General features: G+C 44.8%; 1 protein-coding gene, 1 long non-coding RNA gene and 1 other non-coding gene across 10 annotated transcripts in view; 2 read left to right on the forward strand and 1 right to left on the reverse strand.

Moving 5' to 3' along the window:
• The window catches only part of CPA4 (carboxypeptidase A4), a 31,020-nt gene extending 18,112 nt beyond the window's left edge, over positions 1–12,908 (forward strand). For all 3 annotated transcript variants that reach the window (NM_016352.4, NM_001163446.2, XM_047420438.1), the window contains 2 exons: positions 766–850; positions 11,217–12,908. In NM_016352.4, coding sequence (NP_057436.2) covers positions 766–850; positions 11,217–11,404 — 273 coding nt within the window. In that variant the 3' untranslated portion in view covers positions 11,405–12,908. The remainder of the gene's footprint in view (positions 1–765; positions 851–11,216) is intronic.
• LOC105375503 (uncharacterized) overlaps positions 7,371–20,122 on the reverse strand; it is a 32,989-nt gene continuing 20,237 nt past the window's right edge. For 3 of the 6 annotated variants that reach the window (XR_927965.4, XR_927967.4, XR_007060523.1), the window contains 3 exons: positions 13,072–13,297; positions 9,364–9,493; positions 7,371–9,259 (listed from right to left, as the gene is read on the reverse strand). This is a non-coding gene — a long non-coding RNA (uncharacterized LOC105375503). The remainder of the gene's footprint in view (positions 9,260–9,363; positions 9,494–13,071; positions 13,298–20,122) is intronic. The other 3 variants (XR_001745362.2, XR_927968.4, XR_927969.4) reach the window with 2 other exon arrangements.
• LOC124901842 (small nucleolar RNA U13) lies at positions 8,007–8,110 on the forward strand. Its single transcript, XR_007060677.1, has one exon. It is a non-coding gene; the product is annotated as a small nucleolar RNA U13 (small nucleolar RNA).

Raw genomic sequence — 20,122 nt, forward strand, 5'->3', positions numbered from 1 at the left:
CAAGGACTGTGGGTGGCACCTGGGTGGGCAAGGGGGAGAGATCCTCACTCTAGTGAAAGAAGAGTTTAAGGAGGGCGAAGGCCACAGCCTGGGGTGCTCTGTGTCTCATCCAGAACGTGGGCCATCAGGAGCAGGCCTGGCATCTGGAGGGTGACTGCAGGTGGCTGCCCAGGCTCACAGCCAGCCCTTAAACCTCAGGCAGATGCAGCCCCTCCCAGGCTCACGGCAAAGTGCGGGCTTGATTCTGCTCCCCCACCCCCACCCGGCCTCTCAGGCAGGCACTCTACACAGGGATCATCCACCTATGGCGGTCCTTCTCCTCCTCCACTCTGCAACACCCAACTCTTTGAGAGCTTTCTCTTGAGCATATTTGGCCCTCCCTCATGTGTGCATGACGTCTCCCTTCTCAGGATAGGTGAAGACGGTGGTGCCTTTACTAGATTCCTAGTGGGTCAGTGAGCAGCCCCAGAACCCCCATCTCTTCCAATCTGAGTACATAATGCACAGGCTTCCACTTCCCTCCTCATCTCCTCCCCCAAACTGGGAGTCAAGAACTGGGGGTGTGGTGGGAGAAGGAGTTGAAGGAACCATGCCACCTCCCTCAGTTTACAGTTGGGCCTTGGCACTGGGCGAAGGGGAAACAAGGGACCAGAAAGGAAATCGGGGGGGGCTGAGAATCTTCCAAACCATCCCAGAGCAGAGCAGCTGAGGAAGGTCAAGCTTCAGGATCGATTTTTTCTCACTCCACGGATTCCCCCTTCCCAGGACAAGGTGGCGAGGCTTGCGGCCAAAGCTCTGGCTTCTGTGTCGGGCACTGAGTACCAAGTGGGTCCCACCTGCACCACTGTCTGTAAGTACTCGCTTATTTATGAGTTATTTAGAAAGCACTTTGAGAGGAAACTTGAAATGGAGTGGGAGGAGGGCTGTAAGTTAGACTTACTTGTCATCTGATTGTTTTTGTTGTTGGTAATAGACTGAACTACATCATGCCTGTGTGGTGACAGCTGTTGCATGCAGTCCCCTTCATCAACATCATATCAAAAATTCCTCATGCCCATCCCTTCATTTTCAAGGGAAACCCACCTTTCAGTTGGTAAACTGATGGTGGTAGTGGAGTTGGGGGAGACTCCCTCATCTTCCTAAAGGAGATGGACAAACATTGAGCCTGGACAACATAGCAAGACCCCATCTGATATGGTTTGGCTGTGTCCCCACCCAGCTCTCATCTTGAATTCCCACATGTTGTGGGAGGGACCTGGTGGGAGGTAATTGAATCATGGGGGCAGGTCTTTCCTGTGCTGTTCTCATGATAGTGAGTAAATCTCATGAGATCTGATGGTTATTATAAGGAGGAGTTTTCCAGCACAAGCCCTCTTCTTGTAAGAGTTAAAGAAAGAGGAAAGAAACACAAAAAGCAGCTTAGCAGTCAAAGACAGGTTTATTCTGGGAATAAACCTGAGAGGGGCTTCTGGCTGATTTCAGTCAGGAGTGTTCTGTCTTAGAGACTAAGGGTATTTAAGGGTTTAGGGAGGGGGAGCTTATCGCAGGCTCAGAATGTTTCTGTGTGAAGGAGAGTTTTATTTCCTGGGTTGGAATATCTCTGATCAGAGCGGAGATTGTCTTGGGGTTGGCATGTTTCTGGTTGGAGGGGAGGTTTATCTTAGAGTTGGAATGTTCCTGGTCACGCTGACATTACCCACTAGGCTGATGTTTGGGGCTAGTTTTTAATCAAGGGGAACTTAAAATGGCAGTATTTGCCCAAGATGGTGATGCTCCTGCTCTGTCAATCCAGACCTTATAGTTATAAAAGGATGAAGGGCAGCATGTTCTTTTTGGCTACTTCCTTCTTAGGAGGGCACGGAGAGTTTTTGATCTCAGATTGACTGTAGGAGTAACGCTGTCTGTAGATGTTTTTGGGTAGTAGTCTGTGAGATGGGCAGGATTCTGTCAGTTAAATATCTTTGAAAAAGGTTGATTAGGCAGGGTAAGAACATTAGTCCTAGGCATATTATTAGGACAGAGCCCAGGAATGGGATGACCTGTGTTACGATTTTGTTTCCAAACCAAGAAGTTATTTGGTTGTTTTGCTATTCCTTTAGCTTTTTAGCCCTTTTTAAAAGTTTTTCAGCAGTGTTTCTTACTAGGCCTGATTCTTACCCAATGAGAGGCAGAGGCCCCCTTTTTCAGCTGTTATAAGATTTAATCCCCATTTATTTTGGAGGACTGCAGCTGAGGAGTCTAGTTGGTCTTGGGCTTTTATAAGGCTTCGGGCTATATTTTTTAAAGAACCCTGTAGTTCTGTTGAAAGAGTTTTTTTAAAGTATGTTAAAGACGTGGCCAATCTGCCTGCTCCCAATCCAAGTATAGAGGTTACACCTAAGGCCTCCATCAAAGGAATGACGTGGATGGCCCTCTTTTTTAAAACAGATTGGACAGATGGAATGGGTAAAGGTTGATTAGGAGGAACTAGTTTAATGGAGGGAGAAAGATAAACTAGGACACAGGTTCCAGTTTAGTTGGTGCGGAGACAAAGATATGTGTTGGTGCCACACCAAAAGAACAAGACTTCGTTGTAAATACAGGTGGAGATATGGAAAGAAAACAAGTGAATTAAAGACGGGGTGTTTTTTCTTTCTTGTGGTTCATTACTCCAGGTGGACAAGGAGGAGGCCAGGGAGACACCCACTATGGTAGAGATATAGAAAGAATTATTTTTTACACAATACTGCAGTCAGATGTTGCACTATTGATATCCAACCATGGAAAAATGTGGGCACCAGGGACAACACAGGTTGGGCCAGAGGCATTGGTTGAGGGAGAGGCTGTGAAAAGAGCCAGTTGCAAAAATGCTCTGTTTGCTTCTGGTGATCCTTGGTAGTCAACTTTGTTAGTTTGGTGGTCAGAGGGGTGTTTAATAATAATGAGAGCGGTTGCACTGGTTAGGTGTTAAGGACCCTACAGGGAAATTTTCCTTAGAGGCTGAAAAGTAAAGTGAGGTTTGTTGTAAAACGGGGGTGTGTTTAGTTATGGGCCCTTTAATGGGAGGGCCTTGGGGCTTGAGGTGTTGTAGGGAGTCGTAATAGGTTTGAAATAATTTGTTGGCCTGATTGGCCCTGGAAGCAGGATAATCGCTGACCAGGGTGTCAGCTCTTTTAACAAAGGAAGCTCCTTTCTGGAATTTATAAATTAGGGTTATGTTTCCTGTTAAAAGGTCATGAAGGGTTGTAGGAAGAGCTGCGTAAGCTGAGGAAGACAGCGATAAGCACATTCAGCATTCCGGAGCAAAGGAACAGTTAGCTTGCAGCAAGAGGGATCGTGTAAGGTTTACAGAGAGTTCTAGTTTGAGAGCAGTTAGGAGTGGTTGTATTGGTGAGGTTGATGTGATTAGGGAATTTATACTGAAAGAAACAAGAAAAAGAGAAAACAGTTATTTGGGTAGGAGTAAAGTCCTGGAAAGTTCCTCGAAGCCGTAGGTCCCATAGCACAGTAAGGAGCTGTTCAGGATGTATAATGGGAATTCTGTAAGAGTACCACTGAAGGGCTGTAATGCGGTTGGTTAGGAAGCGACGAAAGTTTGGGAGAGAAAGAGATGTAAGCGGCTTATGTGGATTTCTCTTCCTTTTTCTTCGGGATTCGGGTGAGGTGAAGGGAAGTGGGTCCTATGGAGACACAAGAGAAGGCTGAGGGATTTTAGACTTGGTTGTTTGGGTATGTGGTGAAGGGAAGTCTGTTTTCTTGAGAGAAGTATAATGAAACCAGCTGGGGAGTCCTTGGAGTTTTGCTGCCGTGGGTGTAGTAAGGATGATCTGGTAAGGTCCCTTCCACTTAGGTGTGAGGGGGGGAATTGGGGGTAGGACTGGGATCCCAGTCCTGGTGTAGGAAGGGATTAGAGGAGTCAGTTACGGGTTGTGGCAGGCATTTGTTAGCATATTCCCAAATAAAATGGCAGATGGTATGTAGAAGAGGGGAAACGAGAGGGGTTGGTGGAGGCAGGGCTTGACTCTGAGGTGGAACAAAAGGTGTGAGTGGTCTTTTGGACGTGAGTTTAAAGGGGCTGAGCATTGGAGGTTTAGGTGGGAGTGCCTGAATTTTTAGAAGGGCCAAAGGTAAAAGTGTAACCCAGTTTGTATGTGTTTGGAGTGAGTACTTGGTGAGGGTGTTTTTTAGAATGTTATTCATTTTTTTAACCTTTCCTGAAGATTGAGGGTGATAGGGGATGTGTGGCTTCCAGGTGATTAGTAGGGCCTGTGCAAGTGTTTGAGTAATTTGATAAATGAATTCAGGGCCATTATCAGATTGAAAAGAAAGAGGCACCCCGAACCTGGGGATGATTTATGTTATTAATTTGGAGGCGACAATAGAAATTCGATTGTTGGATGGAAAAAGCCTCCACCCATCCTGACAAGGTATTAGCCAGAACTAAAAGAAATTGAACCTTGTTTACTGGGGCATATGGGTAAAATTAATTTGCCAGTCTTGTCCTGAAAGGTGTCCCCTGGCTCGAAAGGTTGGGAAAGAAGGGGGTTTAGTGTTGGAATAAGGTGACGCTTTGTGGCAAATAGAGCATTGATGGGAAATGGCTTTTAACTGTTCCTTTATATCTGGGGTTATGTGTATATGAGAACTTATGAAATGTTGTAGAGGTAAATGGCTACTGTGGAAGAGATTGTGAATATCTCATAAAAGCGTTGTTTTTTCAGGGTTAGGTGGGACTAATTTGGTTCGTATCAACCAGTATGGGGGTTTGAATTGTGCCCCCGCCATAACTAGTTGCTATATTTGGTGTTTAGGATAAAAGGAGGGGATATGTTGTATGAGGGGAAATAGGTATTGGGGAATTGGATGATTGGTTGAGACGTGTTTTGCTCAATAGTCAGCCTCACAGTTCCCTAAAGAAATGTGATTGATGTCCTTTGCAATGGATAACTGCAACCTTTTCTGGAAGTAAAGCTGCCTTTAGATGATGGATTAGTTTTCCATTAATGATAGGAGTTCCCTCAGCTGTGAGATAGCCCTGCTTGCTCCAAATTTGGGCATTGGAATGGATGATGTTATAGGCATATTTAGAATCGCTGTATAAATTGTGTGTTTTTTGCTAGGGTTAGGGCTCTTAGGGCAACTAATTCTGTTTGTTGGGAGGATGTGCCCAAAGGCAAGGGGGCAGCCTCTACAACTCTTTTAGGTGGGAGAGAGTGGGTATCATTATGATATCCCTTAAAGATGGCATATCCTGCTTGGAGGGAGGGTTTTTTGATGTGCTGCCATTTATAAACTAATTTGGGGCTCCCTTTATGTGAGTGGAAGTAAGGTGGTGAAACATGGTGAGAGAACTTGTAATTAGATCAGAGCATGAGTGTTGGTTGGGGTTTAAAATTGGTGTTGAGGCTGGGCGCGTTGGCTCACGCCTGTAATCCTCCCACTTTGGGAGGCCGAGGCGGGTGGATCACCTGAGGTCAGGAGTTTGAGACCAGCTTGGCCAACATGGTGAAACCCCGTCTCTACTAAAATACTTTAGCTGGGCATTGTGGTGTGCGCCTGTAATCCCAGCTACTTGGAAGGCTGAGTCAGGAGAATCACTTGAACCTGGGAGGCAGAGGTTGCACTCCAGCCTGGGCTACAAGAGCGAAACTCTGTCTCAAAAAAAAAAAAAAAAAAATTGAAGATAAAAGACTGGTGGGATTTGGGGGGTAGCATATATGAAGAGAGATAGAAGGTTGAAAGAGTATTGAATATAGGGCTTGCATGCGAGAGGATGGAAAGGATGAGATGGAGGTGAGCGCCTTATGGCTGAGCATATCTTGTAGACTGTGAGAAGAAAATACCTGAAGGGATCTTTATCTGGGCTCAAGCAATCCTCTCTTGTCAGCTTCCCAAAGTGTTGAGATGACAGGCACGAGCCAGTGCACCTGGCCTATTGTACCTTTCGTATGTTTAGATTTGTTTAGACAGACAAATACTCACCATTGCGTTACAACTTTCAAGTGTTCAGTACAGTAACATGCTGTGCAGGCTTGTAGCCTAGGAGCAATAGGCTATGCCATATAGTCTAGGTGTGCAGTATGTTATACCATCTAGGTTTGTGTAAGTACATTGCACGATGATGAAAACATACCTCCATTGTGAAGTGATGCATGGCTGTATGAACATGGAAGGCACAACTCTGATCCCCCTTAGGGTGGTGCCCTCCTTTTATTTCTCTAAATTTTATGAGACAGGGTCTCACTCTCTGGTCCAGTCTGGAGTGCACTGGTGCAATCTCGGCTCACTGCAGCCTCGACTTCCCCAAACTCAGGTGATCCTCCCACTTCAGCCTCCTGAGTAGCTGGTAGTACAGGCATACACCAACATGCCCAGCTAATTTTTGTATTTTTTTTTGTAGAGAAAGGGTCTCATTCTGTTGCTCAGACTGGTCTCAAACTCCTGGGCTCAAGCAATCTGTCTGTCTCAGCCTCCCAAAGTGCTGGGATTACAGGCGTGAGCCACCTCGCCCTTCTTTCCCCTCTATTGGCTTTTCTATAATAGTGTCTCAATAGTTGATCCACCCTCAGAACCCCTGCAAACTCGCTGCTGTTTCTTTCCTCTTCAATTCTCCGCCCACTCTCCCCTCCAACTTGACTCACTCTCAACTGGCTTCACTTCAGACCCCCTCTTTTAGGAAGATTCTCCATCCACCCCCCGGGCCCTCCTCTGGACTCCATCTCAACAGTCTTGTCTCTGTTTCAGATGCCATCAGATGATGTTGGTGTTTGTGTTGCTAATTGCAGCAACAATCCATTAATAATTCATGGTTTCTTGATATTAGTGTTGCTAAGTGGGAACTCTTCAGACAACACACCTGGAGAGTTTCTGCATCCTCTGCTTAATTAGAACGGAGTGAGGGGCCAAAGACAGTTAAAAGAGACTTGGTAGGTGCCCTCTGAGGACGTCCTCTCCAAAGATCTTTGGGGGTCACCAGGGTCCTGGCCTGTGGGTCAAACATCAGCTTGAATAATGGCCTTGTCCTCCTGCATCAGACACATTCTTTTCTCTCCTCCACAGTATAAACTGCCAAAACTGGGAGATACTCATCAGATTGCTCCAACAGAAGAGGAGGAAGGCTCTCCCGAGGGCTGTCCAGGAGACATAAAATTTCTACCTTTTCTTTTCTTTTTGAAATGGAGTTTCGTTTCGCTCTTGTTGCCCAGGCTGGAGTGCAATGGCGTGATCTCCACTCATCACAACTTCCGCCTCCCAGGTTCAAGCGATTCCCCTGCCTCAGCCTCCCGAGTAACTGGGATTATAGGCATGTGCCCCACCCCCAGCTAATTTTTGTATTTTTAGTAGAGATGGGGTTTCTCCATGTTGGTCAGTCTGGTCTTGAGCTCCCGACCTCAGGTGATCTGCCCGCCTCGGCCTCTCAAAGTGCTGGGATTACAGGCGTGAGCCACAGCACCCGGCCAAAATGTCCACCTTTTCTAAGAGCCCATCTTCCATATTCTTTATAGGCCTTGTCTGTCCTTGTTTTTTCAAAAAAAAAGCAATCAATTTTTGTATAATAGCACTCTATCCAACGCCATAGGTTATGGTGTGTGCTACATACACAGTCGACGTTTGTCCTTTCAAGTGCTGGGCCTTTTCCTAGATCGCCATTTTAGAGGAAAATAATTCTAAAATGGATTTTACACTCTTCTGCCTTCTAAAACAGAGCATGGAGAAGAGATTTAAGCCCCTTTTTTCATGGTTAAGTGTACTTCTCAACCTCAGTTCGTATATGCTAAAGGCCTACTCTGCCGTCTTGGACTGTTTGGACCTTCTGCTAAATGATCCTGGCCTGTTTTCCTTCTTGTGTTTGCTTTGTAGAGTTTTGTGTCTCCTTTCTCCTGCCAGACTGTCAGCAGTAGCTTGTATTGCTTCAGGCCAACAGCCTCTAGCAACCCTTTCCCCTCCTCTTCACTGATTCTGCTCCAGGAAGGGCTTGGAAACAAGTTCTTTGGGTTCATCTGACTTGTGGATAACACAGTTTCATGTACTTTTTGTAGTTCATAAGCGTGGTGATTGGGTTTTCACGCTCATGTGTGACATATGCCTTCCTCCAATTTTGTTACAATGTTGGTGCGTTACCCATCAGACATGGGGGAAGAAAGGGTGTTCATGACAGCATTATCTATAGTTACAAAAGACATGTACAGGGGCCAAGGGAAAACTTCCCCTTTGCCTTCTGAAGGTTCATTGAAAAATCAACTGACCAAAGGCAGATCGATAGGAGAAAAGGCATACAAAATTTTATTTTAGTGTGCATGGCACAGGGGAATCACAGGAGAATGATTTCCCAATAACCCAATGGGGCACAGAAGCTTGTATACCCTTTTTCATACAGGAGGGAGGAGATGTATGGACTGGGGAGGTGGGAGGCAGATATTACAGGAAGGTGAGGGGCGGAGCTGTACAGGAACAAAGCTTGTCTTATTAAGCAGATAAAGTCCTCCAGGCAATCTCTTGGAGCTGCTCTCAGAAGAATAGATGAAGTCTGTCTGGGTGTGGTGATGATTCCCAGTCTCATCTCTTCTGGTGGTTTATCTTTCTTGGTTATTTGATGAGACCTCTAGGGAGGGTGTTTAAGACAATTGCATTTCTTTTGGAAAGATGCTTTCTTGGTCAGATGAGGAAATTTCCAAAGACAGACAGTCCCTCCCTGTGTTTGGTGGTGGGGCAGGTATGGGGAACAAGAAGTTAGAGGGACCTTGGTTCGGGGGCGGCTTCTGAGGGCCCTCAGCATGTCAAAACATCAGCCTTTGGGATATCACTTTCTGAGCCCCAACCCTTGTAAGTGTCTAAAATGTCCACCTAGAGAATGCAGGATAAATACACATTTGGTGCATTCACACAATGCAGCACTACAGAGCCCTTAAATGAATGAGGTAGATCTATGTGCGCTAAAAGGGAATACTCACCAATTGTTAATTGAAAAATACATGTGCAGAACAGCGTTAATAGTGTGTTCCCATTTTTTGTTGTTGTTATTGTTTTTAAAGAGTAGGTAGACTTTCAGCAGGGACCCAAATAAAGTGAAGTTTACAAACTTCGTCATTTTGACTGCTCAGCAGAAGCCTTTTTGCCTCCTTCCTGAATCTCAAATGTGTTCTGAAATACTTGCACTTGCCATATAAGTAACTTCTAGAAACTTCTGCTACCATTGCTTTTCACTCTGCATTTTCTTGAGGTAAAGAAAGGCCATGGGAACCACACAGGGAGGGAGCACGGAGTCTCACTGGAAGCATCCCTAGAAAAATCACAAATGCTATTCAGGAATCACACAGCTCTCAGGAACCATGGAAAAGCCAAAGGACCCATATTTCCATGTAACAGGCTTGTTAATATACTCACTAGATCTGAAGTTGGTTGAGGAGAGCCTGGGCTTTATTATCAGATGGACCTGGGTTTAGATTGCAGCTCTGCCATTTTCCATCTGTATTTCCTTAGGTGAATTATCCATTCTGAGCTTGGATTTCCTCATCTGTAAAACAAGGACAATAAAACCTACTTCAATGAGTTTTTAAAGATTAGTAGATCATAAGTGTGAAGTGTCTGATATAATGCCTGGCTCATAGTAGCTGCTCAACAGATGGTAGCTGCTACTGACATCATTTTATTATTTAATGTCATCCAGGCCAGGCGTGGGATTCACACCTTTAATCCCAGCACCTTGGGAGGCTGAGGTGGGATGATCACTTGAGTCCAGGAGTTTGACACCAGCTGGGCAGCATAGTAAGACCCCATCTCTGCAAATAAATAAATTAGCCGGGCATAGTGCTATGTGCCTGTAGTCCCAGCTACTTGGGAGACTGAGGTGTGAGGATCACTTGAGCCTAGGAGGTCAAGGCTGCAGTAAGCTGTGATTATGCCACTGCACTCCAGCCTGGGTGACAGACTGAGACCTTGTCTCAAAAAGAAAAAAGAAAAAATTATCTATGCTTTGTAATCTTAGGCAATTTCTGAGCTAGTAGGGTTTGACTGGTAAGAAGCAGAAAAATGGACCTCTTGCCCTTCATAAGCCTTTTGGCAAAGGTAAGTCCCAAGGGCTGTGCTCCCTTCTCCGTATCCATTATCTCTTGCCATGTTAAAAAAAAAAATCCTAAAACTTAGCAGCTTAAAACAATCAACGTCCATTTTCTTAGTTTCTGTAGGGCAGGAATTCAATGGTTTAGCTAGATGGCTCTGGCTCAGGATCCTTCATGAGGCTGCAGTCAAGATGTCTTCCAGGGCCTCAGTCAACCTAAGGCTTGTGTATTTGTCCATTTTCACACTGCTGATAAAGACATACCTGGGACTGGGTAATTTATAAAGAAAAAGAGGTTTAATGGACTCGCAGTTCCACGTGGCTGGTGAGGCCTCACAATCATGGCAGAAGGCAAAAGGCATGTCTTACATGGTAGCAGGGCAAAGAGCAAATGAGAACTAAGCAAAAGGGGTTTCCCCTTATAAAACCATCAGATCTCATGAGACTTATTCACTACCACGAGAACAGTATGGGGGAAACCACTCCCATGATTCAATTATCTCCCACTGGGTCCCTCCCACAACACATGAGAATTATGGGAGCTACAATTCAAGATGAGATTTGGGTGGGGACACAGCCAAACCATATCAGCTTGCATTTTTCATTCACTACCTCAGTTCCTCACTATCATGAATCTCTGTAGAGGCCTGCTTGAATGTCCTTACACCATGACAGCTGGCTTATCCAGAGTGAGTAATCCAAGAGACAGCAAGGCAGAAGCCACAGTGTCTTTTATGACCTGGCCTTGAAAGTCAGACAGCTTCATTTCTGCAGCATCCTGTCAGTTACACTAGTGAGGTCAGCCCTATTTAATGTAGGAGGGAGCTGCACAAAGACCTGACTTGTGGGATCCAAGTATCATTGGGGCTATCTTGGAGGCTGCCTACTATACTCTCTATAGAGATTGGTTTTGAGGGACTTACAGGACGGACACAGCGTTAGTAATAAGGTGGGAGTAGGGGTTTCAGATCTCTTGATTTGAGACCAGTGTGCACCTCAGGCCAATGCAGGATGTCCTGAGACATAGGGATCAGGCTGATGATTTTGTCATAGGACTGATGACTTGAGGAGCAAACTCTGGATTCCTTAAGGAACCCCAGGCAGGCAGAGCTCTTGGCCCCTTCCCATCTAACCCAGGAGGGAACTGGGCTTCAAGAGTGTTTTGTCCTCCGACTTACAGATCCAGCTAGCGGGAGCAGCATCGACTGGGCATATGACAACGGCATCAAATTTGCATTCACATTTGAGTTGAGAGATACCGGGACCTATGGCTTCCTCCTGCCAGCTAACCAGATCATCCCCACTGCAGAGGAGACGTGGCTGGGGCTGAAGACCATCATGGAGCATGTGCGGGACAACCTCTACTAGGCGATGGCTCTGCTCTGTCTACATTTATTTGTACCCACACGTGCACGCACTGAGGCCATTGTTAAAGGAGCTCTTTCCTACCTGTGTGAGTCAGAGCCCTCTGGGTTTGTGGAGCACACAGGCCTGCCCCTCTCCAGCCAGCTCCCTGGAGTCGTGTGTCCTGGCAGTGTCCCTGCAAGAACTGGTTCTGCCAGCCTGCTCAATTTTGGTCCTGCTGTTTTTGATGAGCCTTTTGTCTGTTTCTCCTTCCACCCTGCTGGCTGGGCGGCTGCACTCAGCATCACCCCTTCCTGGGTGGCATGTCTCTCTCTACCTCATTTTTAGAACCAAAGAACATCTGAGATGATTCTCTACCCTCATCCACATCTAGCCAAGCCAGTGACCTTGCTCTGGTGGCACTGTGGGAGACACCACTTGTCTTTAGGTGGGTCTCAAAGATGATGTAGAATTTCCTTTAATTTCTCGCAGTCTTCCTGGAAAATATTTTCCTTTGAGCAGCAAATCTTGTAGGGATATCAGTGAAGGTCTCTCCCTCCCTCCTCTCCTGTTTTTTTTTTTTTGAGACAGAGTTTTGCTCTTGTTGCCCAGGCTGGAGTGTGATGGCTCGATCTTGGCTCACCACAACCTCTGCCTCCTGGGTTCAAGCAATTCTCCTGCCTCAGCCTCTTGAGTAGCTTGGTTTATAGGCGCATGCCACCATGCCTGGCTAATTTTGTGTTTTTAGTAGAGACAGGGTTTCTCCATGTTGGTCAGGCTGGTCTCAAACTCCCAACCTCAGGTGATCTGCCCTCCTTGGCCTCCCAGAGTGCTGGGATTACAGGTGTGAGCCACTGTGCCGGGCCCGTCCCCTCCTTTTTTAGGCCTGAATACAAAGTAGAAGATCACTTTCCTTCACTGTGCTGAGAATTTCTAGATACTACAGTTCTTACTCCTCTCTTCCCTTTGTTATTCAGTGTGACCAGGATGGCGGGAGGGGATCTGTGTCACTGTAGGTACTGTGCCCAGGAAGGCTGGGTGAAGTGACCATCTAAATTGCAGGATGGTGAAATTATCCCCATCTGTCCTAATGGGCTTACCTCCTCTTTGCCTTTTGAACTCACTTCAAAGATCTAGGCCTCATCTTACAGGTCCTAAATCACTCATCTGGCCTGGATAATCTCACTGCCCTGGCACATTCCCATTTGTGCTGTGGTGTATCCTGTGTTTCCTTGTCCTGGTTTGTGTGTGTGTGTGTGTGTGTGTGTGTGTGTGTGTGTGTGTTTGTGTGTGTGTGTCTGTCTATTTTGTATCCTGGACCACAAGTTCCTAAGTAGAGCAAGAATTCATCAACCAGCTGCCTCTTGTTTCATTTCACCTCAGCACGTACCATCTGTCCTTTTGTTGTTGTTTTGTTTTTGTTTTTTTGCTTTTACCAAACATGTCTGTAAATCTTAACCTCCTGCCTAGGATTTGTACAGCATCTGGTGTGTGCTTATAAGCCAATAAATATTCAATGTGAGTTTCATGATCATCTCCTATTCTTTGCCTTCACCTGAATGGAACCAAGCTATAGTTTTGAATATGCAACTCTTTATAATGTCAGAAGTCGACTTTAATCCCTGTCTGTATCGCATGACATGTAAGAAGTCCTCCTTCATCAGGCCAAGGGGCCTCCAGGGCAATGTTACCTTGGTGATTTCACTCTGGTCCTGGGTCTAATTCTTAGCTTTTCAGCTCAAAAGCTTGATAGTCTCAGTGTCCATGTTGATTAAACTAGGGGATGCTGACTCACGCCTACAGACCTCAGATGAGGCAGATGATAAAATCAGAATGCGAATTTATTAATTTACATCGTGGCATGTAACCGGTGAGTGGATTGGATCCTCACGTCGGCCTGAGCAGTACATTCTCTCCCTGTAGGCAAGATACATGGGAAGCCAAATTATAATCAGAAGGTTGCTTAGTGAGCGGGCGTCAGAGCAAGGAAAGTTAATTAAAGTCTATGATTAGACTTTTTAATAGCACCCAGCTCTAATAGCATGATATATCCAGTTCTATAGCCAGAGCACACCTGCCAGTCAGCCAGCTGGCCGCTTGTGCTGGCTGGTCAGGACTGCCTCAGACAGTTATGCTGTGCCTCGGTAAGCATAAACAAGCTTGCCTCTGTGACTGGCCTCTGACCTGGGCCTAATTGTGATCACTCCCCTCAGACTCAGATTATCCTTCAGATTCCTTAAGGGAAAGATTTATTTTAAAATTTTATTATTATTTCTTTCTATAGAGAGATGGGGCCTTGCTATGTTGCCCAGGCTGGTCTTGAACTCCTGGCCTCAAGCAATCCTCCAACCTTGGCCTCCCAAAGTGCTGGGATTACAGATGTGAGCCACCACACCCGGCCAAGGGAAAGACTGCTTAAACGAGACATAAATGCCAGATACTATAATGAAATTAGAGCTTTTGTTCATTAAAAGATATAGAAACGGAGAAAACAAGTTAAAGGCCAGGAGAGGATGTTCACCATATTTCTAATACAAACAACAGACAAAGAATGTATGAAGAACTTCAACAAATCAATAAAGAAAGCACAGATAACCCAATAGAAAAATGCACCAAAGGTATAACGAAGCATTTCACATAAGAGGAAGCACAGGCCGTGCATGGTGGCACATCCCTATAATCCCAACACTCTGGGAGGCCGAGGTGGGAAGATTGCCTGAGCCCAGGAGTTAGAGACCAACCTGGGCAACAAAGTGAGACATTGTTTCAACAAAAATAAAAACAAAATAAAAATAAAAAATTAGCTGAGTGTGGTGGCAAGCACCTATAGTTTCAGCTACTCAGGAAGCTGAGGTGGAAGGATCACTTGAGCCCAGGAGTTTGAGACCAGCTTCAGCAACATAGTAAGACCCCGCCCCCAATGTCTCTATAAGAAAAGGAAAAAGATTATCTGGGTGTGGTGGTGTGCACCTGTAGTCCCAGCTACTTGGGAGGCTGAGGTGGGAGGATTGCTTGAGCCCAGGAGTTTGAGGCTGTAGTGAATTATGATCAAACCACTGCACTTCAGCCTTGGTGACAGAGTAAGACCCTGTCTCCAAAAAAAAAAAAAAAAAAAAAAAGAAGAAGCAGATATATCTGATCAACATATGAAAGGATGATTAGTGATTGAGGACACACAAATCAAGACTGCAATGAGATGCCATTTTATACTCATTCAATTTACAAAAATCAAAAAGTTGGAGAGGATGTGAATGGCAGAGTCTCATACCTTATTGGTGGGCAGCTGAATTAGTAAAACTACTTTACAAAACAGTTTGACATCTTCTCAAGTTTACACCTTATGATCCAGCTATTCCACCTTAGGCATGGCCTCAAGAAATTCTTGCAATTGTACAGCAGGAGACATAGGCAAGAATGTTCACAGCAACATTGTTCACAATAGTAAAAACCTAAAAATAACTCAGAATACCATCAGTGGGAGAATGGGTGAAAAAGGTATGGTACATTCACATACTGAGATATTATACAACAGTCAAAACAAAATTTAGTATGATTTCCCTTCTAGAAAGATCCAAACACCTGAAAAAAAATGTATGCATACTTTTATAGAAGATATACAAATTTTGATGAAACTATATAAAGAGAGAAGCAAGCCATAGTGGACATATCCAGACCCCGCTTCCTGGCTGAATGCACAGATCCCAGTGGCTGTTAAGTATTGGCTGCCAATGTTCAGGGCTACATCCCTCTCTAAAGAATTGCTCTTGGCCAAATGGGGGTTGCCTCACCCAGGAGGCTGTGCACCTGTCTTTTCTTTTACCATCATCCCAAATGTCCACCCATGACAGACTGGCTCAGGCGTACACACAGCTAGCTCTTTGCTTCAAGGTGGGATCAACACTTTGGCGCAACAAGTGTTCCAGAGCTCCCATGGGGTCGGGCTAGAGCTCCAGATGATTTCAGGCAAGTCATCCTTGCTTAGCTTTTTTTCCTGCCCCACCTGTTTTCCTCACTCTCCTCCTGAGACAACTCCCCTTCATATCACTTGCATAAGAATCTCCATCTTGCGTTCTGCTTTTAGGAAGACTAAGACAACAGGAAATGGAGAACCTGGGATTCCTGAATGATGATTCCTTCAAATGGGGAGAGGTAGAGGATGAGAGAGGGACAGGGCCCTATGGTTAGAGGACAAAGCTTAGCTTTTGTCTTAGATTCTGCTTTTTCAGGTGTTTATTACGTGATTTTTTTTTTTAAAGTAGAGACAAGGGTCTCCCTATGTAGCTTAGGTCAGTCTTGAACCCTTGGCCTCAAGTAATTCTCCTGCCTTGGCCTCCCAAAGTGCTGGGATTACAGGTGTGAGCCACTGCACTCAGCCTATTATATGATTTTTTTAAAAACCTAATTAAGTAGCTAAATAAATAATTAAAAGAGGACCATGCGGCTGGGCATGGTGGCTCACGCCTGTAATCCCAGCACTTTGGTAGGCCGAGGCAGGCAGATCACGAGGTCAGGAGATCGAGACCATCCTGGCTAACACGGTGAAACCCCGTCTCTACTAAAAAAAAATAGAAAAAAAATTAGCCAGGTGTGGTGGCGGGCACCTGTAGTCCCAGCTACTAGGGAGGCTGAGGCAGGAGAATGGCGTGAACCCAGGAGGTGGAGCTTCCAGTAAGCGGAGATCATGCCACTGCACTCCAGACTGGGTGACTCGGCGAGACTCTGTCTCAAAAAAAAAAAAAAAAAAAAAAAAAGAGGACCATGCATAGATCAATGATGAGTGTGCCACTAACCATGGATTGTAATTAATCTATTTCTATGGACTTGAAAACCAATTTTAAAAATGTTTACAAAGATACTAATTTTAAACAAAAATTGTACTATTCAACATGCATTTATTGAGTACCTACTATGTGCTAGAGACAGTTTTTTTTTTCTTTTTTTAGAGGCAGGATCTGGCTCTGTCACCAAGGCTGGAGTTCAGTGGGGCAATCATAGCTCACTGTAGCCTCAAACTCCTGGGCTCAAGCGATCCTCCTACCTCAGCCTCCCAAAATGCTGGGATTACAGGCACGAGCCACCACACCTGGCTCTTGAGACAGTTTTATTATTTTATTATTGCAAGGAAGAAGACAAATCTTTTATTGCATGAAATTTCATTGTAGTTGGAAAGACCGGAAGTACTCAAGTAAACAACTAAATTAAGAAGTTAATTTGGGTGAGGAGAGCTGCGATAAATAAAAGAAAACAGACTGCTGTCAGGAGAGTGATGGGTGGTAGGGGAGCCCGTCTAGATTTGGAAAGCTAGGGAAGATAGTATTATAAACTATTCTTAACTTTATTCTCTGTATTCTTTGTTTACTTCCTCAAAACATGTAAAAAAGGTGGGCTAGACTTTTTATTTTGAGACAGGATCTCCCCTCTGTCACTCATACTGGAACGCAGTGGCACAACCACAGCTCACTGCAGCCTTGACCTTCTAGGCTCAAGCAATTCTCCTACCTCAGCCTCTGGAGTAGCTAGGCTAATTAAAAAAAAATCTTTTGTAGAGATGGGGTCTTTCCATGTTGCCCAGACTGGTCTCAAACTCCTGGGCTCAAGTGATCCTCCTGCCTTGGCCTCCCAAAGTGCTGGGATTACAGGCATGAGCCACCGTGCCTGGCAGCGACTTAAATTTCTGAAGCACATTTAAGTTTGAAAGGCTTTCATACCTCATCAAATTAGTCTGTAGGGAATTTTCCACCAGTAAGACATCAAGGAGGGTGGAAAAAGTATAGTCTATCAATAATGGGGAAAAATGTCTTGAGTTCTCTTTTTTGCAGTAATGGAGAGGATGGGTTTCTCCGAGCCACCTCCAGGTGTTGCACCCAATTCTCTTGGGGCCCAAAAGAAGATCTTTGTGAAGTAGCTGACAGAATGAGGGGTATATTTGGGATTAGCTGTTGTCCAGTTGACACCAGAGCCCTTCATTGGACTGTAACCCCCTGAAGGCAGGGAGCAGACCATAGCCACTTCTGTATTCTGGGTCACTGGTGGTGGAAAGCCGTGGAATGGACCAACTTTTTCACCGACACATATGACTTTGGCCCATGAGATAACCTCTTGGCTCCTCAGTTTCTCACCTTTAAAAGAATAACGATAGTATCTGCAATGACTTATCAAGAGAATTAACTAAGAGAATATTAAAGCATTCAGTTATTTACCTGGCAGTAGAAGCTCTTGATATGTGTTAGAATTATTTTCAGCTGGCACACATTTACCTATGCAACAAACCTGAACATTCTGCACATGTATCCTGGAACTTAAAGTGAAATTAAAAAAATAAAAATAAACAAATAAAAGAATTATTCTCAGCTGGGCCTGGTGGTTCACACACCTGTAAGCCCAGCATTTGGGGAGGCCAAGGTGGGCAGTCTGCTTGAGCCCAGGAGTTTGAGACCAGCCTGAGCAAAAGGGCAAGACCCCGTTTCTACAAAAAAATACAAACATTAGCCAGGTGTGGTGGCATGTGCCTACAGTCCTAGCTACTTAAGAGGCTGAGATGGGAAGATGGCTTGAGCCCAGGAGGTTGAGGCTGCAATGAGCCACGATCACACCACTGCACTCCAGCCTGGGTGACAGAGTGAGACCCTGTCTCAAAAACAAACAAGCAAGCAAACAAAAAAGAATTATTCTCACTGAGTGGTGGAAATTCATTTATAAATCAGGTCTTCAGCATTTTCCCTAAAGTGATAGACTTATTTGCTTCAGATTGTTCATGAAATGTAATAACAAAGATCTCAACAGATCACAGAAAAACACTAGCTGGATGTTAAGTAATTTTTATTATTATTTGGGTTTGGAAATATTGGGGTTCTTTCTCTGGGAGCTTTCCCAGGTTCTATAGGTATCGAGTTTCCTTTACGAAATTAAGACAAAGGATCACTGCCTGAAACCTTCATAGGTCCAGCTTCCAAACACAACCACATCAAACATAGGGGGTCACTGGGTTTTACAGGTCTTGGAAAGGCCCTGTTGTAAATCAATTTTGGGTAATGTTGACGGCCTGTTCCAACTCTGGAATGTCCTATGTAGATTGCACTTCTTTTGTGTTACTATAGAAAGACTACGCAGAATCATTTTTATCATTATCATCATCATCCTTATCTTTCTGTTTGATGAATTCTGGAATTTTGCCAACCCAGGCAGCTTGTAAAATAAATTCTCTCTGCTATTTGTACTGAGCCTTAAATCACAAACACCAGCTGTTTCTTGTATTTGAAGTAAAGCTTCAGGTATATTGGGGGCATCCAGGGAGCACAGGCGGTTTTTTCCTCCTCTAGAATACACAGGTTCTGTGGTTCAGCTGGGCAATTTGCTCCTTTAGTGTAGAAAGTGAATCTCATGCTTTTTTGTATCTCCTACAAGGCTTAGCTCAGCAGCTAGTAAATATTTGTTGATATGATTTGCTGCAGGGCAGCCGGGTAACAATTGCAGAAGCCGTACTCTCAACAAGTCAGAGCAACAGGAAAAAAGTACTTTTTCCAACCAATATTATCAGTGGAAGTTTGGAAAATATATTGGAATGTACATCCCTAAGTTCTAAGACAGACAGAGCATAAATTAAATATTCAGAGATAAGGAAGGCTTGATATTGGTTAAATTGCTTACAGCTTTGTAGTGATTTATAGTTTTAAAGTACTTTATAGCTATTGGATAATTAAATTATCTCAATCACCTGGCGATAGATGCAGGCTGAGTATTATAATCCTTATTTAACTGTTGAGGCAGTTGAAGTGCTGAAGAGGCAAAGGAACATGCCCAGACTTAAGGCGATGGAAATGGCGAAGCAGATTGTCAAGAGCGGCTCTATGGATTGTTGCTAAGGTAGCAAGAGGGCAGGAGATGCTTTGCTGACTTTGGTTTTGAATTTGAATGTCTTTAAAATACACATAGCTCTTGCAGTCCTTCTGGTCTCATACTTTTGAATTTTGTGCCTGGCTCCTGAAACCTTTTAATTTTCAATTGTGCACTCATGAGAGGGAATTTAGGGAGCAAAAGCCAGGTCTCCCTCACTGGTTGAGGGGCATCCTGCTGTTCCTACAGGCTCTCCCACTAGGGTGTGGGCTCAGGATTGTCATCAGGAGAGTTATGGCTAATATTTTAATGCAAAACACCTGGAATGGGCTGAAGACTCTATTTCCAACCTTTAGGGACTTTATGTCTTTTTTTTTTTTTTTGAGACGGAGTCTCACTCTGTCACCCAGGCTGGAGTGCAATGGCGTGATTTCGGTTCACTGCAACCTCTGCCTCCTGGATTCAAGTGATTCTCCTGCCTCAGCCTCCTGAGTAGCTGGGACTACAGGTGCTCACCACCATGCCCGGCTAATTTTTGCATTTTTAGTAGAGACAGGGGTTTCACCATATTAGCCAGGAGGTCTCAATCTCTTGACCTCGTGATCCGCCCGCTTTGGCCTCCCAAAGTGTTGGGATTACAGGCGTGAGCCACTGCGCCTGGCCAAGGGACTTTATGTCTTTTTATAGGGATTCACAGCCCATAGAACCACCTATCCTCATCTTTATTTAGCCTCTTCCATCCTTGGATGACAAAATGTCCACTTCTCTCAACAAGCAAATAGATGTATTCTGTTTGAGTATTTAAGCAATTCAGCCTAGCTTTACCATTAACCTCGGCTTTGGGCTTATAAGCCCTTCATGGGCAGAGCCAAGGTTTTATTCATTTAGAATCCTCAGCACCTAAGGTGC

Source organism: Homo sapiens, chromosome 7 (genome assembly GCF_000001405.40).
Source record: "Homo sapiens chromosome 7, GRCh38.p14 Primary Assembly".
NCBI lineage: Eukaryota > Metazoa > Chordata > Mammalia > Primates > Hominidae > Homo > Homo sapiens.